Here is a 26928-nt window from a genome sequence, read left to right as displayed (position 1 = left end):
ATTTATAGATTTTTAAACTGACTTAGGTAGACGCAACCAGCTAATTTAAAAAATGAATTAGAGAAGATACAAATTATCAGAGTGCATCTCATAGTGAGGGTGACATTTGTGTGAGTTTATACACACACTCCCACACAGGTACTTCTTTACTGGGTTGTTTTGTGAAATATATTTCTTACTTTGATCATAGAAAAATATTTGAAAGTCACCGACCTAACTCAACCAAACATTATGTGGCCTTTGAATACCTTTTATAAATCTGTAGCAAGTGGTCATTCAACCTTATGGTTGATATTTTCAATATGGTTTATCTAAGGAAGAGTTAAAGAAAATGGAAATACTTAGCCTGAGAGAGCGAAAAACAAAATCAAAAGAAATTTATCATGTCCACCGAAACGATTTTCCCATATTTAAAGACTATTATGTGAATGTATATGCCTACTATGTATCCACAAAAATTAAAAATTAAAAAAAAAGTGTTGCGTGAAAGAAAGAATCGAATAGTAGAAGTTTTAGAAAGGCAGGCTTCACTTTCCTTGCCAGGAGAACTTTTGAAATTCTTCTGCCTGCTAGGCCTGACCGCATGGATATAACACCTTTTCTAGACTCAACATGTCTAAAAGGACATCAGTGTTACTTTCATTGTGTGTTTGCTACTTCTTCACCATGTAACAGTGTCATTTTAAACTGTCACCATTGAGCTGGGTGTGATGGCTCACACTTCTAATCCCAGCACTTTGGGAGGCTGAAGCAGGGGGATCCCTTGAGTTTGAAACCAGCCTGGGCCACAAAGCAAGACCCTATCTCTGCAAAAAGTAAAAAAATTTAGCCAGGCATGGTGGCATATACCTGTGGTCCCAGCTACTCAGGAGGCTGAGGTGGGAGGATAGCTTGAGCCCAGGAGGTCTAGGCTGCAATGAGCTATGATCACATCACCGCACTCCAGCCTGGGTGACAGAGACCCTGTCTCATTAAATAAATTAAAAAAAAACTGATCACCATCCACACATTAGCCTAGTCTATACATTTCAGGGGTCTCTAATCTGCCCTGCTTCCTCTTCCACTTCCCACATGTCATCATTTACAAGTCTCTGCTGTGGGTCTTCTCTGTTGCTTCGTACGTCCTCACCCAACCTCTGCCACTGCTCACTCGCCTTGCTCCGTCTCCTCTGCTTCATCTTTCCCGCTGCCATCATTGGTCTCTTTCTCACAATGGGAAGAGGCATTCAGGTGCTTTAGAACAGTGGTTCCCTATTTTCTCTAGAAAACATTCCAGACTCTTGAGGTTAATATTCCAGTCCCTTCTTTCCAAACCACATCTCTTACACTTTCCTCTTCCAGGTCTTTAAGTGTCAGCGGGCAGTTGTCATGCTTCTCATTTCCTGGACATGCCGGCCAGGTTTCTGCCTCTGTCCTGTGTTCATACCATTCCCTTTGCAGGGATGTCTTCTCTCCCGAGCCTTCCTTGCCAGGTGAAATCTTCATTAGTAGCATGCTATCTCTTCACTGAAACCTTCTCTGATCAGCCCTAGGTAATTCCCCCCAGCAGAATGAAGTGGTTTCATGTCTGGTTCACAGCATTTGCCAATGCCTCTGTTGTGGCACTTGCTCATTCAGGGGGCTGTGTGCAGCCTAGCATGTGTGGGGACTCTGCACAAGACCCCTGAGACTCAGGAGATCAGTGACCTGAGTCCTGTCACCACAGAGTCGTTCTTAAGAATTTTCGCTCTGAGGTCAGATGGACCTGAATGCATTTGCAGGTCTCACCACTTAACAATTTAGGTAACCAGAGGCAAGTTGCCCTATCTCCCTGGGCCTCTGTTCTGTCATGAGCAAAATTAGTCTGAACCTGTCTCATAGGCTTGGTGTGAGGGTAAATTGGGAGTCCCTGGGAAGCCCTTACACTTGACCCTGACACCTGATAAGCACTTGGTAGCCATTAACCAGTGAAAGTTCACTTTTTCCCCAGGGTTATATCCCACAGTATTCATGTTATGTCACTGAAATTGGATCATTTAAGGAAGACATCTTACAGGGTCATTTTGAGGATCAGCTTTTTAACAACATGAGCTATATAGGCGATATATATAGCTATATAAGCTAAATTCTGTTAATGAACATTTTATTTGATTTTAAGTTCTTGGGGATGGTGATCTTGAAACTCTTCTCCTAACGGAGCACCAGTGCACAGTGTACCACTTGATGAAAATTGATTGGAGTTTTTGCCCAAATTATACCCAAACTAGTAAATGGTTAGACTGTCTTGATGTCACTTTTGTTTTGTTTTGTTTTTTGCTCTTAATACAAAAACTGCTTGTTCCTACCAAACCCTGGCAGTGAAAAATATCATATTATTATGAATGGAAACTGGAAAGCAGCCTGTTATATTAAGGTTGCAGAGTTGTATACAGCCACTGCTACTGTATGCTTAATGTAATACAGTATATAAAAATAATATAGTATAACATAATAAAATGTAATATAATATAAATATTTGTATTTCTCTAATAAATTTGTTTTAGTTCATATATTGGGGTGAGAATATTAGTATTTCATTGTTTCTCAGAGTATTGTATCCCACTAAAAGAATGCCACCTGAGTAAGTTTGAGAAGCCCTGAGATATTTTGTTGTAAGACAAAAATAATGTGTTGTAATACAAAATTTATAAGCTGAAGTGTGATCTTAAAACTTTTGAAAACATGTACCTGGTTTGCTTCATATTCTCAAATAATTGTGTAAATTTTTTCCCCTATGGCCTTTGATGTTTGTATATAGCTTGAAGAGAAATCACTGTCTTTCTAAAGGTCTCATGTTTTGCTTTAAGGTTGATTAATCATACAAAGAAACTAATGGAGAAAGAAGAAAAACTGTGCATTAAAATTCTTCAGACATTACGAGAAATGTTAGAGAAGAAAGACAGCTTTGTGGAAGAGGTATTTTTTTAAAAAACTTTATTATTTAAAAATAAAGTAGGATTTCCCCAATACTGTAACCTATGAATTACAATAGGCTATTACGTGATTACTTGCATTATATCTTAATGATGCATGTACTTAGATGAATTATATAATTTGAGTTTTTATGATATTCATCTCTCATGCCTTGTTTTAAACTGGGAAATAACTAAAATTAGAGTTTCCTAGATATTTGTTTTATTATATTCTTATATTATATTCTTGGATCTGTGTTTTTTCCTCTTATGGCTTTAGTGGACCAAATGACCTTTTTAAACAATGAGTAACTGAGATGCATTATTTAGATTTTGTGTAAAGTTCTGCCACATACTGAGAATGTCTATGCATTTTGGCATATGTTGATTTTTTTATTATAAATATATATTCATGTTATTTTTTATAATATTCTGCCAAGTTTTATAAAATAATACTATTTTAGTAAGTGGAATAGTCAGTTTCTATTCTTAACTATATTAACTTGAGATTCACAAGTGATTTTCAGGGAAATATCAACCTATAGATAATAATTGTCAGTCTGTTATTAAAAATGACAGCTCAGGTGCTCATTAAGAGATAGCTAGCAGCATGTTTGATACCCAAGGTGATACACTTAAATATAAAGTATAAATCTAGAGAATTTTTTTTAGCTAGCTGTCTGTACTTTTATGTTAGATATTAAACAAAATTTGTACCATGTTCCTCAATAACTTTTTGGTCTGTTTCGGTAAATACTAATCATCTGATATTTTAAAACTGGAAGGATTTTATGTATTACTTTATGTATATGCTAAATTCCAGAAAGATTGTAGTGGTTGGGTTTTTTAAAGTGCATTCCCATCTTAGAAAAAAATGCAATGGAAACTTAGATATTAATAGAAAGAGCATTGCTTCAAAATATTCCATGTGAATCAATGTTTGTTTCAGTAATCAAAATGCCTTCTACTTTGCATTAGTTCTCTGCATCACTTAAATTATATTTGGAAAACAAATGATCAAAATAAAGGTGGTCAATGCAATTTTAGCAAATATTTCTCTAAGATAGGACTCAAAAACGTGCTTTCATATTTAAAAAATGATAAAGAGAATTCCTTGGGACTTTTGGTTGTCTTTCTCTTAAAATATTGCTGTAGATTGTGGGATATTGACTGAAGTACCAGATTCTGAAGTAGAAAAATGAGGTCAATATCCTTTTCTGGCAAAGGACGAGGTTCACAATAAAAGTGACTTGCACTTAACAGGAGGTACATGGCAAGTCTTCCATTTTTATGTAACAGATTTTTATTGAATTACTCCAAAGGAAAATCGGAAAGAAATCAGGTTAAATTTTTACTTTGGCTAGTCAAGAGTATTTTTATGTGTCTCCCAAACCACTCTAAAATAAATCACTTGTTTTCTCCTTTCCATTCCCACTGCTATCACTAGTTCAGGCTTTTATTACCTCCTGTTGAGAAAATTCCAGGAGTGCAGTTTCCTGAGACAGAACTGCTCCCTTGGGTGGAGGCAGGGCTGCTGTTTTCCTAACTCCAAGGGTCCCCATTTATGCAAGATGTGATGTAAAGGACACCCCCAGCACATAGCCCTCACAGAAGAGTTGAGATGGGAAAGGCTAATTGCAAGTTCTTCATTCAGTCACCCAACACATATGTTGTCAGCAAACTATTAAATGGTGATTATTGTGCCTGGGAACTGGGGATACTGATATGAATGACACAGCTTGCCAAGGGCCATGAATGGATACAATTCCTGTGCTAGTGGACTCCCTTAATAGTGTAGGGAAGAGATCACTAGAGCCCTTCAGAAACCATCAGGGGCTCTGCACAGCGTCAGTGTTCCAGGCCCTCCATTTGTCCTCTCCACTTCACACCCCCATCTGTCTTCATCCATTAGCCTCCGGAAATCTGTGTTACTCAATGTACCTATAATGTACCTCAGGCTTTTCCTGCCCTGACCTTTGCTTCATCTGGAATCATAGATTGCAAAAATCCAATCAAGCCTCAATGCCACCGGCTATCTTTGTGGAGGAGCTACTGGGTAGTACTTATCAATTGTTCCAGCAAGTGGTGATTACTTTCTCAATAGAATTACCAAAATACTTCATGCTTCTCTTTTAGGACACTTTAGGCTGTATCTGGAAATTTAGTCCAAGCTCCTTATTTTATAGATGATGCCACAGAGTCCCAGAGAGGTGATGTGATTTGACTGAGGTTACACAGCAAGAGCTAGAACCAAAGTTTAAATTGGAACTCCTTCCTCTTTGTTTAATCTTCTTACTCCTTTGATCATAGCCAAGTTTTACAAATTTTTTGCATTGCTATTAAGAAAGGTTAGTATACTTTGTCTAGCAGGTTTATGGCGCCAAATTTTAAGACATAGGCAGACAGAATATAAGACAGGAATAACATCCAAAATAGGTAAAGATTCAGATAAACTTCTAAGAAAATAGTAAATATGGGGGAAATGAAGTCATTTAACTAAGAAAGAAAAACCTGATTTCATTTTTTTATGGCTGAATAAAATTCCATTGCACATATATTCATCACATTTTCTTTACCCATTCATCCGTCAAGGGACATTTGGGTTGATTCCATGTCTTTGCTGTGGTGAATAATGTTGCAGTAAACATGTGAGTGCAGGTATCCCTTTGATATGTTCATTTCTTTTCCTTGGATAAATACTCAGTAGTGGGATTGCTGAATCCAATGATAATTCTGTTTTTCATTTTTTGAGAAATCTCTGTACTGTTTTTCACAGTGGCTCTACTAGTTTACATTCCCACCAGTAAGGTTTGAGTTTCCTTTTCTCCACATCCTCATCAACGTCTGTTATTTTTTTGTCTTTTTAATAATAGCCATTCTGGCTGGGGAAAGATAATACCCTGTTGTCATTTTGAGTTGCATTGCTCTGATGATAAGTGATGTTGAGGAGTTTTTCATATGCTTCTCGGCCATTTCTCTGTCTTCCTTTGAGAAATATCTAGTCATGTCTTTTGCCCACTTTCTAATGAGGTTATTTGCTTTTGTCCTGTTGAGTTGTTTGAGTTTCTTGTATATTTTGGTTACTAGTCTCCAGTCAGATAAATAATTTGCAAATATTTTCTCCCATTCAACAGGTTGTCTCTTCACTCTGTTGAGTGTTTCCTCTGCTGTGCAGAAGCTTTTTAGTTTAAGATAGTCCCATTTGTCTATTTTTGTTTCTGTTGCCTGTGCTTTTCAGATCTTAGCCATAAATTATTTGCCTAGACCAATTTCCAAGAGAGTTTTCCCTAGGTTTTCTTCCAGTATTTTTATCGTTTCAAGTTTTATATTTAAGTCTTTAATCCATTTTGAGTTGATTTTTGTATATGGTGAGAGATAGGGATCCAGTTTCTTCTGCATGTGACTGTCCAATTTTCCCAGTGTCATTTATTGGAGAGGGTGTTCTTTCCCCAGTGTAAGTTCTTATCTGCTTTGTTGAAGATCAGTTGGCTGTAAATATATGGCTTTGTTCCTGAATTCTTCATTCTGTTCCATTGGTCTGTGTGTCTATTTTTATACCAATACCGTGCTGCTTTGGTTAGTGTAGTGTAGCCCTGCAATATATTATAAGTTAGATAATTTGATGCCTCCAGCTTTGTTCTTTTCACTCAGGATTGCTTTGGCTATTCCAACTCTTTTTTGGTTCCATATGAATTTTAAGATTCTTCCAAAAGAATATGATATCATGTCATTTGCAGCAACGTGGATGCTGCATGGAACTGAAGGTCATTATCTTAAGGGAAATAAGCCAGGTACAAAAAGACAAATACTACATGTTCTCACTTATATGTGGGAGCTAACACATTTGATCATATGAAGGTAAGAGAGTGGAAAGATAGGTAACAGAGACTGGGAAGGGTGGGAGTGGGAAAATGAAGGGAACTGGGTTAAAGGCCACAAACATACAGTATGACAGAAGGAATAAATTCAATGTTTGATAGCAGAGTAGGGTGACTATACTTAACAAAATATGTTGTATTTGAGTGATGGACACATCAAATACACTGACTTGATCACTACACATTTATATACATGTAACAAAATGTCTCATTTATCCTGTAAATTTATAAGAACAAAAAAGAAAAAGGAAAAGCCTTATAAAAAGCATACATATCTTATTTCTTAATTTTATTGTTTCTTAATTTTCATGTTTACTAAGGACAGAATAAAAAATTATAGCTAAAGCAATTCTAGCTCTTAGACAACTTTTTAATTCTAAGTGTTTTGAAATGAGAAGTATTTCTATCAGTGGAAGCAGAAGACATCTCATTCCCCTCTCAGGAAATCTTAAAGATAAGCATATTGGATCTAGAAGGATTCAAACAACCAGTTTGGGAATGAGTTGGGACTCCATGATCTCTGTATTTTGTCCATTGGTCCTTCTGAAACAGCTGGTGCTCAGTGATCCATGCCAGTGGAGGGGAGCTAAATGGCTCACCCATTTGGGTGAAATGGCCTTGGATGATAGATTCAAAAAGTAGCAAAAGATACTATTGTACAACCAATGGTGGGCTCTAATAACAAGCCCTAATTATCAATAGTGGGATAAGGGGTGGCTGTGTTTCCATGACTGTATTTTTTCCTACTGACCAGAAACTTTGTGGTGTGTAAAACCACACAAATTTATTATCTTACAGTTTTGAAAGTCAAGAGCTTAAAATCAAGGTGTGAGCAGTAGTGTGTTCCTTCTGCAGACTCTAGGGGAGAGTTCATTTCCTTGCCTTTTCTGGATTCTGGAGGCCACCTGCATTCCTTGGCTCGTGGCCCCATCCCCTATCTTTAAAGCCGGTAGTGTAGTACCTTTCAATCTCCACTCCCTATTTCCCGCCCCCCTTCCCACAATTGTCACATCTCGTCCTACTCTGATGCTCCTGTCTCCTTCCTATAAGAACACCTGTGATTACATTGGAACCACCTGGATAATCTGGTATAATTTTCCCATCTCAAGAGCCTTAACTCAAATCACACCTGCCGAATCCCTTTTGGCATGTGAGGTAACATGTTTACAGGTTCTGGTGACTAGGAAAGGGATCATGAGGACATGTGCATCTTTGGGGAGGGCCATTATTCTGCCTATCACAATGACCCTTTTATTGACAGTGAGAAATAACATCTAGAATGTAGATGTAGTATTTACTTGTGGCTGATTAATATTACTGTGTAGGGCAATTTAAATGCAAATGAATAGAACAAAAATGCTTGGAATCTATAGCACTTTGCTGTTTTCAAAATATTTTAGAATATTTTGCTACCTTTCAACAATTCTAACACATACACAGAACAGGCAGTGTTACCTCCACATTGCAAATGTGAAAAGAGAGACTCAGAAAAGTGAATTGCGTTAAGTCACATAGGTTACCCAATACCTGCCCTGTAATGCCTAACCAGCTGGATTTCGACTGTGTATTGAAGCATTCCCAGGAGATTTATCAGAATTAAATCAAAACAGAAAACTCAAACCAGGGTTTTTCACACGAGCTATTCTAATATTACATTTGAGACTCCACTTATTTGAATTTAAAATGTCAACTTAAAAGAAAATTACTATTTTTATTTCCTTGGTTCCTGACACCAGAAGTGGTGTATGTGTGTGTGTGTGTGTGTGTCTGTGTGTCTCTGTGTGTTTGTCTGTGTGTGTGTGTGTCTATGTGTGAAACTGGTAAAAATTTAAAAATAGGGCAATGAAGCATAAATTTGCTTCATGGTTGAACCAAATGTCCTTTAAAGCAATTCTCAACCCTGGGATTCTAAATTTCCCGAGTTTGTTAGCCTTCTCTGTATGATGTATTAAGGAATTACATTAAGGATATTTAATGTAACTAAATGTAATTAGATTTTACCTACTGGTCAATTATTTATTAAAAGCTTATAATTTAGAATACCCTTGAGTACAATTTCTAAATTAATTATACTTAGGGATATTCTTCCTTGACCCATGTTTCTTAGTTTGTGCCTAAGACACTGAGAAATAAGATACGGGTGGGCAACATCTTAAAGATTCTTGAAAGAATAAAATAAATAAAGGAAAATTTAATTTTCTGTGAAGTGTGCCTATATGTGAAATCATCTAGGGATCATATAGTTAGTTAAGCTATAGTATTTATTTTTAATGGAAGGATAAAATGTGAAAATTTTTTATAGAAAGTCTTTAAGGGGAAAATTACCTGAGTTTTAAAAAATTCCCCCTTAAAATACTGTTTGTTTAGGTGACTGTGATAGAAAAGCAAGAGTTTACAAAGGATGTAACTAACAACCCTAACAAGTCTGAGAGCTTAGTTTTCCTTTGGGGTTGGCATATTTAGAAGGCTTTTTAAACGTAACAACAGCAGGCATATTTATTTGTACTTTAAAAAAATATGTATGTTGGAACATTGGGGTAGGGAAAGAGAAGAGAAGGAATGCTTCAAAATGGCTGGAGGGCAGTGTGATTTCTCTTTTTCTTTGAGACAGAGTCTTGCTCTGCCACCCAGGCTGGAGTGCAGTGATGCTATCTTGGCTCACTGCGATCTCCACCTCCTGGGTTCAAGTGATTCTCCTGCCTCAGCCTTCCGAGTAGCTGGGATTACAGGCACCTGCCACCCAGCTAATTTTTGTATTTTTAGTAGAAACAGGGTTTCACCATCTTGGTCAGGCTGGTCTTGAACTCCTGACCTCAAGCAATCCACCTGCTTCAGCCTCCCAAAGTGCTGTGAGCTACCGTGCCCAGCCTGAGGGCAATGTGATTTCTAAAATTCTCTATCCTTAAAGCCATTTTGTTCTACTCTTATTTCCATGACACTCTCTTTCTCTCTCCCTCTCTCTCCTCTCTCTCTCTCTCTTCCCCTGTCTCTGTCACACACACACACAAACACACACAATATCTGATAGTATGTGTGTGCTGATGAAGAGAATAGCTTTATTAAAGTACTGTGCCTTCGTTCTGTGTATTTAAAGATACTTTAGAGGTCCAAATCTGTGTAGTGGTGAGTTGCTAATGGAGACAGAAAGAGCTTACGTGGATTGGATAGAGGTGGGCTGATGAGGTTGGAGCAGGAAATAAGGACTGCACTCAGAGGAATGGTTTGGTTTGGTTTGGTTTTAAGGATTTTGGGGGTCAATTTCCCGCATCTTGTACTCTTTAGTATACATTTTCATCAAGATTTATAGAGCATTACAAGTTATTTCTCTCATAAAAAGGGAAAAACATATATAAATCATGAAAGTAGAGATGTCTGTCAACTCCAATCCTAAGTATATAAAATTCATAGCTTCTGTACTTTAGAATTGGAGAAGAGAACGAGCATTGAAAATATTCATGGATCGCCTGTGGAAATGGTAATTTACAGTTATTCTCTTTACATTCTAGTCAAAGAAGTTGACCTATTTAGAATGACAGTTACAATTTCCCCATGACTATATTCCTATCTGTTAATGTTACACTGACATACATATAATCTATAGGGCAACAGAGATGTTTTTATAGTAAAGTTCAATATTCTTAAAATGATCAGATTTAAAATACCATCTATCCTTGGAATATTGTTGCAAAAATATTGAGAGCTGCCTCTGCAATAGCTATGGTACAGTTTTAAGCAACGGTTTTAAAAATTAATAGCTAGCATTTATTAAGAGCTTACCGTGTGACATTGTTATTATCAGACAGTACTGTCAGACACTGTTCCTAATCACTTATATATGTTACCTTATTTATTCTTCAACCCTATGTCATAGTTTTATTATCTCCCTTTTACTGGTTAGGAAACTGAGGTATAGAAAGTTTTTAAGGTCACACATCTTAGGAGAAAGAGACCTGGGATTCCAACCTAAACAGTTGCGCTTCTGAGCTCACACACTTCATTGGCATGTTAGATCCAAACAGGTTATAGGACTTATAATCACAACTCATTTATTTTCTCAGTTACAAAACTAAATAACATGAAAAGTTCTTCAATTTTATTCTTGATAAAATTTGCCTAAGTGTGTACTGGAAAGCATAATCCATTTATTCAGTGAGCTGCCCAGGAAAGGCTTGACACCCACCTTGTGATCACGGTCTGAGTCGTTATTAACTAGAATATTAGTTATAAAAGTTCTAAACAATATTTTGTAAGATGACTACTGGAGATAGCCCCTTGTTGAAGTGTGGCTTTCAACAAATAGCATAGCATCTAATTGAGAGCTGTGATCTTTACAAATGCCCAGGTTGGGTAGGTGATATTTAGACATTGAATAGTGGTAGCAGACAATGGATTCTTGATTTGAAAGTTGATATCCGGAGTGATATGGAATAAAGATCTTTAAGAAATGATGCCTGAATTATTTTTAAGATGTCCTCTTTTTTTTTTTTAACTCTAAAATATACTGACTCCTGAGTTAACAAGAAATTTATTCTTATCCTCAGCAGGAAAAAATATTGTAACTAATCTTTTATTTCTAATTTTGAGAAGTCACAAAAAGAATGTCATAATTATACCAAGCAACTTAACTCCTACATCAAATATGCATGTGTCAGTCCCAGCAATAATTGCATTGTTGCAAATTTGTAAATTGTATCAAGCTCCTCTTATTGTATCAATCTGTATAGAATCATTCACATCTATGCATATACTCATTTCAGTTTCTAGCAGGCAAATGAATGAATTTAAATAGAAATGCTACATAGACTGCATTGTAGCTTAAAAATTGGATAATAACTTTTGCTGAGAGAAACACATTTTAGTTTTATTATCAGCTGTATTTTATAATATTTCTTATTAAATACATTTTAGAGGTGAGTACATTTGTTTTGTAATATAAGTGCTCTAATGTTGTTTTAAATCAAATATTAGTGATGCTGCAACTGTGTACCATCTTAGTCATTCCCATGTATATTGTGGTTGTGTGCACCTGCATGTGTTATTTTATTTTATTTTTTTGAGATGGAGTTTCACTCTTGTCACCCATGCTGGAGTGCAATGGCGTGATCTCAGCTCACTGCAACCTCTGCCTCCCGGGTTCAAGTGATTCTCCTGTCTCAGCCTCCCGAGTAGCTGGGATTACAGGCGGCTGCCACCATGTCCAGCTAATTTTTTTTTTTTTTTTTTTTTAAGCAGAGATGGGGTTTCACCATGTTGACCAGGCTGGTCTTGAACTCCTGACCTAAGGTGATCCACCTGCCTCGGCCTCCCAAAGTGCTGGGATTATAGGTTTGAGCCACCACGCCCAGCTGTGTTATGTTTTAACACATGTGCTATGTCGCTAAGTGGTTGGAAATATGAAAATGAGTTGATGTGTTCTTATAATAAGACATCTGCTTTAGTATACATTATTAGCATGCTCTTCCACTTTGGAATTTTTATTTTATATTTTCACTTAGGCAAAAATACTTTCAACCATTAAAGTGGGTATAAAAGCAACAGTTGCTTTTAGAAATTTACTCTTTTCAGTTGCTGGGCTGGTTTGGTCACTTGTTAGACTATAAAAGTGATAAATTTACTGGATGAATTATATTCATTTTAACCTCATTATTACAAAAAAATTACAAAGTTCTTAACTGTGCCTCACATTTACTTTACTCTTTCAAAATCTCACATAATAGCACTCATTGCTTCAAGGGTTTTTGAGATATGCTACCACTCTTTAGAGATCTATGACTAAAAAGTCATATTGAAAATATTGCCTGTACTCAGAAGGTAACCACCATTCATTGCCTCTAGTAAGTATAGGACATTTGGTAGCTAATGATTGTAGGTGAAAAATGGCATTGTGATTAAAAAACAAACTTGGATAGCATTAAAAGAAAAAAAAGGAGAAGAGAATAAGGAACTAAAAGGAGAATCACTAAAATCAATGTATTATTAAGTTATCATGTTCATCATTTCCACCTAAATCTAAACCTAAAACCTTTTCCAGGAAGTATTTCCCATTTAGTTTAATTCCATATCATTCTAATTTGTAATCATTTCAGCACTTATCAAATTATATTTATCTTATTAGTGTAGACCTTTTCATATCATGCCTTATGAAGGTTTTCTTTGGTGTATGTACTGCCATTTTAAATAAGTTAGAAACTCCTTGGGGATAGGGCTGATGCATAATGTAAGGGGAAAGAATGCCTAAAAGGCCTTTCAGTGCTGAGAATCTAGGAGGGTAGAGTACTGGATTTCTCTCCAGTTCCAGCCCACCCTCCACAAAATGGTATACTATTTGAAAGCAGAGACTGTTGATCTTATTCACTGAAGTATTTCTATGTCTAGAATTGTGCCCTGCACTTAGTTGCTACTCAATAAATGTTTGCAGAGGGACAGATTGACACATAGTAGATGTAAATGTTACCAGCTCTCTGCAATGCAGCACATTGACCTTCCCTAGTCCTATCCAAGAAGTAGATTCTAGACATATCATGTCATGTTATACTTTGCATATCTCTGTTACCCAGGTAACAGCAGGTTTCTTTGTATTTGACATCCCTGCAAACTTGGGTGGGCAGCAGAGAACCACAGCATAGAGGGCTGAGGAAGAAGACGTCTCGCAGAAGGCACTGGGACCAGGGGACTGCTGTTGTCTTTTGCTCACTGTGTGGCTTAGAAAGCAAAAGAGGATCCCAGACACTGTGCACAGTTATGGTGTGAGCTCAGCCAAGGGGGATTGGAGCAGATGATGACCAAATCTGAAGGCCAGCCAGTGGGGAGGGGGTTCCAGCCATGGGGCTTCTGTCCCAGGAAGGGCGCTCGTCCTGGATCCAGTAGGAACAAGCAAGAGAGCCAGGCTACAAAAAGAAACCATGTAGGTTTTCAAAAAGAAAAACCATGTAGGCTTTGAACCAGGAAAAAAAAAAACTTACTATAAAACCAGGAGAACATGGCAGCATTTGGGACTTATGGGGAGAGGCCAAGGTCCAGTCACATGAACTGGGACACTGAGTTAGATTAATGAGAGCAACTAGCTGCAGAGTCCAAGAACTGTTGATCTCAAGCAGCATCAGGCTCTCCTGCCACAGGATGAAATTGGTGTTCTGAACTGCTCAATGGTGTTACGGTTGAGAGGAGAAGGAATAGAAAGGCTCTGGATAAGACTGGGCCTGATACATTTCACCTTTTCTATCAAATACACTAATTTCGGGATACTGTTTGAACAGGTCCTCACAGAGAATATTTGCAACCTGGTATATGAGGCACCAAAACCACACTATTATTGTTGTTATTATTTAACTGCTGTTGACTAGGCATATCTAGAGAAGCTGTTTGCAAGGTAACAATGTGTCTGTGTCTGCTTGGATCTTCACACTAACTCTCTGAGGAAAGAAAGTATTTTAATCTCCATTTTATAGATAAAAAGAAAGGCACAGTAGGTAAAATGACCTGGTAAGAATCACAGGCTGTCCGGGCGCAGTGGCTCACGCCTGTAATCCTAGCACTTTGGGAGGTGGAGGCAGGCGGATCACGAGGTCAGGAGTTCGAGACCAGCCTGGCCAGCACGGTGAAACCCTGTATCTACTAAAAACACAAAAATTAGCCTGGCATGGTGGTGCACACCTGTAGTCCCAGCTACTCTGGAGGGTGAGGCAGAAGAATTGCTTGTACCCAGAAGGCGGAGGTTGCAGTGAGCTGAGATCATGCCACTGCATTCCAGCCTCGGTGACAGAGTGAGATTCTGTCTCAAAAAAAAAGAAAAAAAGAAAAAAAGAAAAAAAAATCACAGGCTTTGTAAATGGCAGAGCAGGAATATGAATCAAGGTTTTCTGATTCTGCTTTCTTTGATGCTTCTCCACATAGTAGGGAATTAAATAATGCTGGTGAAAGTAAATGATAATTTGAATTTGATTTCAGTTTTTCAAGCCACTTCTTTCAGACTTATTTCCTTTGCTAGTTCTAGCAACCTGAAGGTTAAGCAAATCTTTTTTTTTTTCAAAAAGGTGTGTTTGTGGGGGATATATTCTTATCTAACTTTCAGGTACATGCCCCAAATAATAGTAACAGCTTAAACTTTTATGGGGTTTACTCTGTTGTTAGTTTAACAATCATAACACATTGAAGACCTGTAGCACAGAAAGGTTAAGAAACTTGCCCAAGATCACACAACAAAAGATGACACAACCAGGAGGAAAATCCAGCCAATCTGGCCCTAGAGCCCATGTTTCCAATCACTACATGATACTGTCTCTCATTCTATGATGATATCAATTTGCAAAGCTGTAGGAATTTCACACATGGCTGCCAGAGGCAACTGTTTTTTTACGTTAAATAACAGAAGCCAACTTAAGATATTTTTTATGTATAATGATTTTGAGTATCTACCATTTACTGATTTCTTCAGAGTAGGCCTGGTTCCTGCATATTCCATCTGGTGCTTGAACATCTTAAACATTTTTGGATAAATCTTAGTTGCTTAAAACAAAACAACACAGAACATTATGAATATTTGCAGATTGCTCGGTGAAGTTGTTAGGTCTATCTTATCTCAGTTATCGCTGGCTTTTGGCTGGGTTTTTAATTAAAACTCAATATAGACTATATTACTTATACAGTCATGGAATACAGAAAACAAATGTGATATGTAAATGAGCACAGCATGGCAGCTTGATAAAATGAGTCTGTGGCACAAAATAATTTAAATGAGGACTCATGGACAATTAAAATCTAATCAAATGCTTATAATTAATATCACATAGCTGGAATGATGTTGAAGATACTGACTCAGAGACATGTACTTATATAACTCCATCCCAGGTATTGAGTTGATTTTATTTTCTCTGACAGTGCCAGAGTATAGTAATCAGGGAAACATTCACCAGAAGGTAAGCAATAACCGGGCAGTAATCTCATACTTGGGTGCACCTTTGAGGATGCTTCTTTAGGCTTCTTGCCATCTACCACCCTGGTGTATGCAGCCATTTATTCATTCAACAAATAGACTGCAGCATATATACAATTGGCAAAGAGTCCCCCATCCTCTTGGCTGAGTTAGGCAAGACCTCTGGTTACTAGGCCCACTGCCCACTCTCTTGAAATAAACTGTTGGTATCAACTCCACCATGCTTGGATTAGTTAATGCACAAAATGTACAGACCAAACCCTTCCTATCACCACCATGACATTGCCTTGCCATTTCTCAACACTTCCTCTCCCGCTCCAGAACTGCCACTCAGCAAGCTCTCCTCTATCCTTGTCCTCTTCTCTAAGCGGTCCCTCCAGCTTCTTGCTTTATTTGAAGACTCCCTGGCCCCCAAGGTCAGCCCACTTTCTGAGCAGCTGTGTGAAGTGCTGTCTCTTTTCTCCTTCATCCTCCAGGGGAAGAAGCTTTTTGTCCCTGTGGTTTCCCATTGTTATTTCAAGACAGATTCCTCTGCCTTCTTTTAAAATTCTTAGCTCCTTTGAAGTTAAGACCCTCCAACTATATCACGACCACATCAGCCCACATCCCAGTCAATTGCTCTCATCCATCTAAGACTTTGGAACCTTGATCTTGGCCCTCAGCACTGCCATCATCAGGGGTGACCCCAGTCAATCTCGGCTGTGTAGCCAACACTGGCCTGGTGGATCCTGCCAACACTGGCCTGGTGTATCTGCACTGACCATCTCTCTTCCAGAGTCCACCACCCAGTTCTTGCTGCTACTCCATGATTGCTAACTCAGGCAGTAATTGCTGCTACTCCATGATTGCTAATTCAGGCATCCCAATGCTCTGACATTTACTCCTTTCCATTCAGTTTCCTTGTTCACTTACATCCATTTCAACTGTCCTTCAACCTGATGAAAACCACTGACCCCTCAAATTTCCCGGTTCTTCAGCTTGCCCCCTTCCTCTTCTTATTCACCTCAGATTTCATAGTCTCGAGTTCTACTGTTGAGCAGCTGTTTAAGACAGGGGACTAACAAACTGTCCTAATAAAATAGCATAGAAGAGGGAAGGGGCTGTTCCTCCTGAGAAAATTGCAGTATTGTTGCCAACAGATGGGAACAGGGATGGCAGGCAGGCCAGAATAACCAGTGACCACCCTGAGTTCTTCGGGAAAATCTTGACAGATTGAGTTATTTGGATTATTTAAGTTATTTGGCTGCTTTTCTTTTAATATTCCACCTAAATGTATATGCCACCTCTTTCCAAATGAAGCCAGAAATCTTGGCTCAAAGTTCTTGTACAAAAAAAGCTTCTACTTTGCTATATACACAGGCACTCTGTGTTCTCCAAAATTCAAATGACTGAGGATATTCTTTCTTAAGGCTGAGAAAACATATGGACGAAAGTATGCTGCTTCTCATCGTCTGTAGCCTCTTGACAAGACATCTGCTGCAACAGTTTTTGTTCTTCGATCATGGACGGTTGTTTGCCAATTGTTTTCATAAATATTAATCTTTGAAATCTTGACTGACATATAAGTTGTTCTTTTTGGATTCCTTTCTTCTTTTCTTATTTATGTGCACCATCTTTAAATGATTGTGCCACAGTACAACAAAAAAAGATTTTCTTATGAAAAATTCTTATTTTAAAAGTGGAAGCCATATAATGTCTAATTTGAAAGCTTGTGATTTTTTTCTTTACATTTGAAATCTCCTTTTTCTTTTGCTCAACTAAATTTATTCCATTGGAATAATGTTTTTACTTCAGCTCTTTGAAGTACCCAAGGAAGACATCTAAGCTCAACTTCCCCAAGTACTTGACTGATTTAGTCCCAAGGTAGATAACTGTTTCTTCTTTCTGTGAAGCTATAAACTTTAGAACCAAATAATTATTTTGAATTGGACAGTGATAGCCAAGGTGTTCTCCAGTGATATTTGATGCATCTTAATTTCTAATCATACTTTTTCATGGGAAGATAATTGGAAAATCTTTAATGGAACATAACAACACTGTCTACCAATGGGTGTTATTTAATGACATTGATAAAGTTTTATTGGTCTTCTGTGACCTCGACCGTACACTAAATAGAACATATGAAGCATTTTAAATGCCATATGTAGCTTTTTTGGAATCATTTTTATTGTGTATAGTAGTTCCTGATTTATTTTAATGTTACCTCTAGGGATAAGTAATTCAGCATATTTTAAATTGTTCCAATTATTGCTCAATTAGTAGAACAACTTTTATGGACACAATTGTACATATTTATGGGGTACTGTGTGATATTTTGATACATGTTTATGTTACATAAAAATCAAATTAAGGTATTCAGCATATCCACCACCTCATACACATATCATTTATTTATGGTGAGAACTCAAAAAATCCTGTCTTGTAGTTATTTTGAAATATACAGTAGAGTTAACCATAGTCACCTTGCTGTGCAGTAGAACACCAGAACTTATTTCTCTTAATAAAACAATTTTTAACCTTAAGAATGAAAAATGCTTCACACAGATATTGATCCTAACCCTGTTAGCAAAGAATCCTCAGTTCATGTGAAGCTAATGATGCAAAATACAGCAAGTGACTAATTTTGAAAGACTGTTTGATTACAGTGCCATAGTATCTTTTCTTTCTTAGTAAACCACCTGTTCAGCATCTAAACTAGGGACAATTCCTTAAGTGTTCAACATTTAAACTGAAATGTTCGATATTCCTTAAATCTAGCTGTTCAACATCTTTTTTAAAAATTTACATCATAAAATCTTGAGAGAGAAGCTCCATTCTCTGGTTTTCATAAAGCTTTGGGTTTTCTTTTGCTTTTTCTTTATTTTTTTGAAGTGAGAATACTCCGTTGTTAAATGAGAGTTAATAAATTGGAAAATATACTAACTCATTGATAAGTGATGAAATTTCTATTTCTTCAGTTTTATCTAGATCATGTGAAATTTATATTTAGAATAGAAGAGATTTCTTTACATCTTTTGCTCTCTTCAAGGGCCGTATCAGGGATTAGGAATTTATCTTAGTTGAGATCAAACCATTTCCTCTGAGATCTATTGGCAAGTGTCATCTCTCTTCCACATCTGCCATTTTCTGAAAGCAAAATGAAATTCACATGTTTGCATACAATTTTGCTGATTCTTGCCAGGAATACTTCCTGGGAAAAGCATGCTGAATATTTCTGCAATGCTTCAATTTTAGGGAGAAAAGGGAATATTACAAAAATTTGGAACTATCCCATGACAGAGCCAGGAGCTGAGGAGCAGATGAAGGACCTACTTCTGGAAGGCCACTGACGTGATGGCTGGTGTCTCCACGGGGTTAGGAGAATGGACATGTCAAGCAGTGGCCCTCTGGATCAGGGATTAGATGCCAGGGAGAGAATTACTTGGAGAAAAGGCTGGGCTGACTTGTATAGTTCTAGTCAGATAACTGACACCTAGGGGGAATCTGCCTTGTATTGTATCATCTTCTGTGGGAAGACACAGAGGAAGAAATGATGCCACCTGTATTAGTTTGTAGGGCTGCCATCACAAAGTCCCACAGATCGAGTGGCTTAAACAACAGAAATTTGTTTTCTTATAGCTCTGGAGGCTGGAAGTCAGAGATTCAGGGGTCAACAGGTGGTTTCCTTCCAAGGGCCAGGAGAGAAGGAACTGTCCCAGGTGTTTCTCCTTGGCTTGTAGATGGCCACCCTCTCCTTGTGTCTTCATATTATTTTCCTTCTGTATGTGTGTCTGTGTCCAAATTTCCTCTTCTTATAGGGCCACTAGTAATATTGAATTAGGGTCCACCCTAATGACCTCATTTTAATGTAATTACCTCTTCAAAGATCTTATTTCTGAATATGGTTATATTCTAAGGTGTTGCAGGTTAAGGCATAATTCAGCCCATAACATATCTAAGTCTTTAATCTTTTCATAGATGAGATGTGCAAAGGTTTTCTGTGTATGCTTCTCTTGTGCGCATTTTGCTGACAGCAGCCAAAATGCACCGAGCAGCTTGCGGGCATCTACAAACAGATTTAAGAAGTGATTTCTAAACATTATTGTTTAAGTTGGTTTAAACCCATGGAAGAAACAGAAAAGAGGTTTTTCTCTTGTTTCCTATCTTAGGTTAAGGTTGAAAAAAACCAGTTGATTGGAATAAAAACTCAAGTGACAATGACTACCAGATACATAGGTTTTTTAGCAGAAAGTCAAAACATCATATAGACTGGTTCCAAGATAAGTGGGAAAATTTGAAAATTTGATAGCACTGTGTTTGTGGCAGTTTTTAGCTTTGGGCTGACTCAAATATAGAGTCCAGTTTCTTACCAAGCACTTTTCGACTGTGTTTCAGCATGATCATGAAGAATGCACATTTTAGATAGGATCTTTGGGGTTTTCTATTTGCTACAAATTAAATTAAAGAATTATTCTGGGCCGGGCACGGTGGCTCACGCCTGTAATCCCAGCTGTTTGGGATGCCGAGGTGGGTGGATCACCTGAGATCAGGAGTTCGAGACCAGCCTGGTCAACATGGCGAGACCCTGTCTCTACTAAAAATACAAAAATTAGCTGGGCGTGGTGGTGCATGCCTGTAATCCTGGCTACTCAGGGGGCTGAGATAGAGAATCGCTTGAACCCAGGAGGTGAAGGTTGCAGTGAGCCAAGATTGCGCCACTGTACTCCAGCCTGGGCAACATCGAAAACTCCGTCTCCAAAAAAACAAAAAGAATTATTTTGGAATATCATTTCATCAATTCATCATTACAGTCCATTGTGTGCAAAATACATGCTTAAAGTCTTTTACCGGGGGCTGGGCACAGTGGCTCATGCCTGTGATCCCAACACTTTACAAAAAGTTACTTTAAAAAAATTAGCTGGGCATAGTGGCACACACCTGTAGCCCCAGCTACTTAGCAGGCTGAGGTGGGAAGACTGCTTGAGCCTGGGAGATTGAGGATGCAGTGAGTCATGATTGTGCCATTGCACTCCAGCCTGTGCAACAAAGTGAGACCCTGTCTCAAAAAAAGAAAAAATATTTCATTGAAAAATGTCCCTTTTCTGGAGGAGTGTTTTATACTGTTCACAAGTTTGTGTAAACCACACATACACAATTTTGCTATTTGTTTTGGCAAGTGGTCAGTTTTTAAAATGTTGGTGGTTGCTTTTAATATCTACCTAAAGATAGAGTGAATTTTACGGAACATAACACAAACAAGAACACTGCTTTTAGCTCGTGATATAGCCAAGCCTCAATGACTTATTCCTTGCACCTGTATGTGGGAGATAACAATGAAATAATAAATTGTCATGATTTTAAGGAAGAAAATGACTCATGTCATAGTATTACTTTTGTAAATATCCTTTCACAAATATCCTATAATTTTAAGCTTTGTTTTTAAATCTTAAAAATATTTATAAAATACTTTTCTGATATTTTAAGACAGCATTACCGTATTTTCTTGTGTGTAAAGTTTTCCTGCTTCTAGTATATTTTAACCAGTTCTCTTATGCCAATCAAAGGAGAATATGCAATTTCAGAAAAATAAACTTCAAGATAGACTCACAGTAATTCCTTCTGTCCTCAAGCAAGTATCTATTCCATATCTAAATCAAGATGATTGATCATTTTTTGTTTTGGTGTTGGTATAATCTTTCCTATGAGGTTCTAAGTGGTGGGGTACTTCACTGACTGTACAGGAAAAGAGAATTGTCTTGAATCATTCAGATACACACTTGTGTGTGTGTGTGTGTGTGTGTGTGTGTAAATACAGTAAACATGAAGCTTAGAACATGGTAGAAAATCAAAGGTGTATGTGAGAAAATATCACCTTTTAAAAATCTGAGATACATTATTCTGGAAGTGAAGAGGCAATCTAATCTGCACAAGAATAACAATTGTCAGAGCATTGCTTTAGATGGGTCACAAAGCTAAGACGAATGAAAAAATCAAGGAGCATTTTAAGAAGCCACTATTTATACTTGTCTGCTGCTGAATTTCTCTACAATTCGTTTCTGCTCCAGTTTATTACACATGACCAGTGTATGTGATAAATGAATGGTTAAAAATGAGTTATAGACTTTAATGTGAAAATCTTTTGTCTGATTTTACTGTTCACTGCTGTTACCCTCAGTACATTTATTGAAATGTCTTACACACTTTAATGCTGTAGTGTGTTATGCGTGTTTGTACTTCTCACTGCCTCCGATATTTCAGTGGGCAGAATACAGTGAGGTGCATTAGGAAAGCCCAATGAATATTTATGGTAATCCAAGGGAACCAGACACAGAAATGGACTTGCTTGGTTCCCAGACCTCTATCTTTTATCTTATTCTTAAGGGTATTTAAGATAAAAACAATGTACTGTAATTGATTTATTTTACCAAATCTACTTAGCATTCAGTGGCTATATCCAAATCTAAAAATATTGATAGTTCAGCACTAAAAGTGGGTTTAAATTTAATCATAGAAGAGTTTAACTCTGAAAAAATTTATGATTTATTTTGGGCTTTTATCTATTGTCACCTCTTCTTTGCTGAATGTAATTTTTATGACTTCAGATTTATAAATTAGACAGTTGCATTAAGACAACTCAAAATGAGAAAAGAAAATAGTTCTGGAAAGAATTATTTCTTTTTTTTCTGAATTTATTGGTACAGTCCTATGTAGATATACTACAGTGTTTGAGAAAGCTACATAAACATGGCCTTTCTACCCACAACCACATCCATAGTATTTAAGAACCCAGTAGGGGAGAATTGAAGGCTGAGGCTGACTTCAGAGAATCCTACACGAGGCAGAGTTCCTGGAATCAGAAGTCCAAAGCAGGATAGCTTATGTATAGAAATATTAGCTGTCTTGATTCTAGTAGTTCATAGCCCCAACTGGGGAGCCAGAGAACAATGGTCTTCTTCCTACATTTACTTCTGACCATCAAGAAAGTAAAAATCTCCAGGATTCACGGGAAATATGATCCTCAGTGAACAGTATCATCTGAAGATGATGACTGTTGGCAACACAAACAATGAACTTTCCAAAATACAGACACAGACACAAGAGAGTAATCCAGATAATTTCAAGTATTCTGTGGCTTCTGGGCCTGTCTTTGTGGACTTCAGGTGTAGAAAATTCCAGAATAAGTGTTTGAGATGTTAGCTGGTTTTCTGACCACATTAAGTGTGCTGGTCTGGGACATTGGGGCCCTTGCTACATCACTTATTGGCTGTGGGATCCTAGGACCCTTGGCTCTAACCTGCATCATCTGTTAAATTAAATTAAAATCCCAGTTGAGCCAGGTGAGCTTTTGAGGTCTGTATCCTGATTCTCTGATCTCCTTCTCTCTTATGGATTTAGATTCTTAATGGGACTACAAAGCATATAAATTCCTTTTCAGAAATATTGGAGGTAGACTTAAACTGCAAAAATAAAAATTTAATTAAATGCCTACCATGTGCCAGGAGCTGAACCAGTTACTGAAGATACAGTTGTGAAAGAAAACAAAACAATGAAATGGCATGGTCCATTCTTATATTGGAGCTTACATTCTGGAGGGGGAGCAGATGATACATAAATAGATAAACAAATACACAGTGTGCTGTGATGAAAAATGGACTAGCCATCATGTATTGAATCTTCATAGGTACCAGGAATCATTTTAAGGATGTTAGAGGTGCTTTATATGGAGATTTAATCCTCACATTCCAGTGTCCATTTTACAGATGGAAAAACTGAAGTTTAGAGACGTTTGGTTATTTTACTTGTTCCAGGTTCCACAGACAGAACCAGCCCATGACCCAGCTGGCATTAGAACCCAGGCAGCGTGATTATAGGATCTTTAATAGGAAATTATTCTGCTACCTGTCTCAGGATAAAAGGAGAGCAAGAACAGTGAAGAGAAATGGGTTTGTGTTTTCTATGGGGTGTTAAGAGAATGCATCTTTGACAGGGTCCTGTGTGGCAGAGACTGAGGAAGGCCATGCAGCCATCCTGGGCAGAGGAAACAGCACACACCCAAAGATCTGCATTAGCAGCTGGATTCCTGGTTTGAGAACCATCAAGGAAGCCAGTGTGGCTAGAAAGGGCTCAGTGACAGGTAGCACTAGGTCATGAGATCAGAGCAGTGGGAGAAGGGGCTGGATCATGTAGGCCCTTTGTAGGAGATGGTAAGGACTTTGATGTTGTCTGAGTTTCTCAGCATTAGACAGAAAGCCATTGGAAGGTTTGAGTATAGGAGTAAGTGAAATCTGATCTATGATTGACAGAGACTACTGTGTCAGCTTAAGTGTAGAGTACGCTTAAGAGGGCAAGAGTGAAAGCAGAGATAATTTTTAAGAAGTGATTGCAGTTATCTAGCTGAGACATGATGGAGGCTTAGAGTAGGGTGACAGTGGAGGCAAGAAGTTGTAGGATTCTGGATGTGGAGTGAAGTTTGAGTGGATAGCTTTTGAATGTGAGGCTGAATGTGCAATAAAAGACAAAGAGGAGTTCAAAATGTCTGTAAGGATTGCGGCATGAGTAACTGGAAGAATGGAAGTGCCATTTGTTGTAAAGGGGAAGATGAAAGGAGGAACCTCACCCACCCTGTGCCTCCAGTGCACAACACAGCACAGCAAATGGGTTCAGTACAGAACTGAATTAGTTAGCCATGGAATTACTCCTATTCCTGCCAGGTGTCCTCAAACAAATACCAAAATCCATGACAGTGAAGTTTAGTGGAGAAACATGTCCCCCTTTGCATGATATTCTGAGCTTCTTGATGACAGCAATATCAAAAGGGAAAATGTAGTTTTAATTTGGAGGGAGATGGAATCTCATTTACGATAAACCTGGACATAAGATGTAATCAACATTTCATTCTTGTACAATGTAAAGAGTTATTTTGAGCAGGTTTTCAGTGACCTGTGAAGAAATGGCATTTCAGTACAACTTCTTCCTTCAGGTTTTCATACAGATGAGCATTGTTATAAGTGGCTAAGAAAGATATGGAAGAGGACATGATAGGATAGAAACTATTTTTCTGGGATAGATGCAGTGTTCCTCAAACATACAAGTGCATTGAATCTTATATTTACTTTTGTAGCTCTAAACAAAAATCCAACATCCTTTGTGGTTCTATTTCGAACAGTTTGTTAGTGTTAGGGCTTGCAGAGGCCCCGAAGTAACATCCCTCTCTCAGGAGCTGGAACCATTGAAAGTCATAGGAATCTTTCAGGTTGAGATCAGAATGTCAGGTTCATAACTGGAATATGCAACTGGAAAACATGGCTTGAGATCTGTGGGTGTGTTTGCTAATATTTCCCCCCAACCTAACGGCAAACCCAGACTCTCCAAAGGGGCAAGCCGCTTAGAATATGGCAGAGAGCAGTCCAGGAGTCTCCTGCTCTTGGGGTCAGGCAGAACTTGGGGAGGACTTTGCTAACATCTGTTATTCCTTCTTTCCAAACCACCAGTCACATAAGGCGCTTCCCTTTTTCAAAGGAGGCATGAGTGAGTGGGCAGAGAGAGGCCAAAGGTATCACTAGCGGAAGTTCCTCCACCTGGGGCACATGAGGTAAGGAGAAGGGCACTTCCCTATTGACCTTTCTCCATTGGGAGCTTTATCTCATTACGTAGTAAATTGTCATTACCTTTATCCTTGTCAGGTTCATGTTTCTGTGGGAGATATTGTAGGACTCCTTGCTTTATAGTATAGAAGAAGTATGTCTCAACTTGTTTTCCCACAGAAACATATCTGATGAATAACAAACCATTAGTATTGGTATCTCATTAGCTGCTACCACTAAACTATGCATTACTCCCAGTTTCACTGGTGCCAAATCCATTCTTTTCTCTGTGAGTTTGAGAACTATTAATGTAGATACGTTTCAGTCAAGACTAAGGAATATTTCTATAAAATGAATATTTGGAATTGATTATCTCAGTAAGTCTACCAGTATACCTGAACTGAAAGGGATTCCCCAAAATGCCAAATATTCAGCTATACCAGAACTATACTGATTGGTGGTGTAATGTTTGTAGAATTTTCAGAATTTGATGACACTTTTAGGCATTCTATCATCATCAACAACAGCAAACATTTCTCAAAGGCATTCTTCCTACAAAGTGCAATGCCAAGTCTGAGGACACACCAAGAAGTATAAGTTGTCTGGACACAAGAAGTTTGTACTCCAGTATAGAATGTGTGCCACATGAGTACATGTGAAAAGTGAATAATATAAATGTACCCTATACTACCTGCTAAGTGGATTACATGAGCATTACAGGCAGAATGTTAAGCCATGCACCAAAGACACTTTTGACAGGTTTGGGATGATTGTAAACCATTTCCTAGGAATTGTTCATAAAGCTTAAGACACTAGAAGTGAGTGTTAACTTTGCAGGAATAGATCATTAGGGGCTGTTTGGTACTAGGATATTTCATAAAGAAGGTAGAAATTGAGCCAGGCTTCAAATATCCCAGGACTGAGTGTTTGGTTCCCTTGTCCACTCCATCTGCATTCCTCTTATTAATAAATAATATCACCATCCACCAAGCTGCTCACCAAAATTTTAGGTGTCATTCTTGATTTCTTCTTATCTCTCGCCCCTTATGGCAAATGCATCAGCTAGTCTTGTTGATTTTACCTATAAGTGTTTCTTGAATACACCCAGCTGCCTATCTGCCCTGCCACCCCCTTGTCTAAACCCGTTATCCTGGTCCAAGAAACCGTCATCTCCTGCCTGGACTACCACATGACCTCCTAACTCTTCTCCCTGCTTTCAGTATTTGTAACCTCCAATCTTTTTTTTTCATAGAGTAACAGTTGTAAATGATAAATCAGATAATGTCATTCTCTTTTTAAAAACCCTTTGATGTTTTTCTGTTTCTCTTTAAAAGAAAATGTACATTTCTTACCAAAATTAGTAGGACCCTGCACAACACAACTTGGGCCATCTTTTCAACCTCTTTCCCTTATTTTATTATAGTGTAGCCACAGTGGTGTCCTTTCTGTTCCTCAAACAGAATCACCTCTTTCTGTTTAGAGGTTTTGCATTTGCTATTCCTTCTGCCTGGAATACCATTCCCTTGGCTATTCATGTGCCTGACTCCTTTTATATTTTTCAGGTCTCAGTCCTAATGTCACATTCTCAGCACAAATGCCTTTCTTGACAACTCTATCTAAAATAA

The 26928-nt window shown here is 37.9% G+C and overlaps 1 protein-coding gene across 8 annotated transcripts in view, besides 2 other annotated features; it reads left to right on the top strand.

Annotated features, from left to right (window-relative positions):
• Positions 1-26928, top strand: part of ITPR2 (inositol 1,4,5-trisphosphate receptor type 2) — a 497843-nt gene that overhangs the window by 280014 nt on the left and 190901 nt on the right. For all 8 annotated transcript variants that reach the window (XR_001748686.3, XR_001748687.2, NM_001414174.1 and 5 more), the window contains one exon: positions 2826-2934. Coding sequence is in view for 6 of the 8 variants with exons in the window: in NM_001414174.1 (NP_001401103.1) it covers positions 2826-2934 (109 nt within the window). In the remaining 2 variants the exon portion in view is untranslated. The remainder of the gene's footprint in view (positions 1-2825; positions 2935-26928) is intronic.
• Positions 4924-5093: an enhancer, noted in NCBI's record as "experimental_26967 CRE fragment used in MPRA reporter constructs". NCBI's record gives its function as "activates a minimal promoter by MPRAs in K562 erythroleukemia cells, with activity observed for both the introgressed and non-introgressed 12:26701106 variant alleles {active_cell/tissue: K562}" and the evidence as "EXISTENCE:reporter gene assay evidence [ECO:0000049][PMID:34662402]".
• Positions 25538-25707: an enhancer, noted in NCBI's record as "experimental_26952 CRE fragment used in MPRA reporter constructs". NCBI's record gives its function as "activates a minimal promoter by MPRAs in K562 erythroleukemia cells, with activity observed for both the introgressed and non-introgressed 12:26680492 variant alleles {active_cell/tissue: K562}" and the evidence as "EXISTENCE:reporter gene assay evidence [ECO:0000049][PMID:34662402]".

This window comes from Homo sapiens, chromosome 12 (assembly GCF_000001405.40).
Source record: "Homo sapiens chromosome 12, GRCh38.p14 Primary Assembly".
NCBI classification, from domain to species: domain Eukaryota; kingdom Metazoa; phylum Chordata; class Mammalia; order Primates; family Hominidae; genus Homo; species Homo sapiens.
This window is presented reverse-complemented; position numbering and strand designations above follow the sequence as displayed.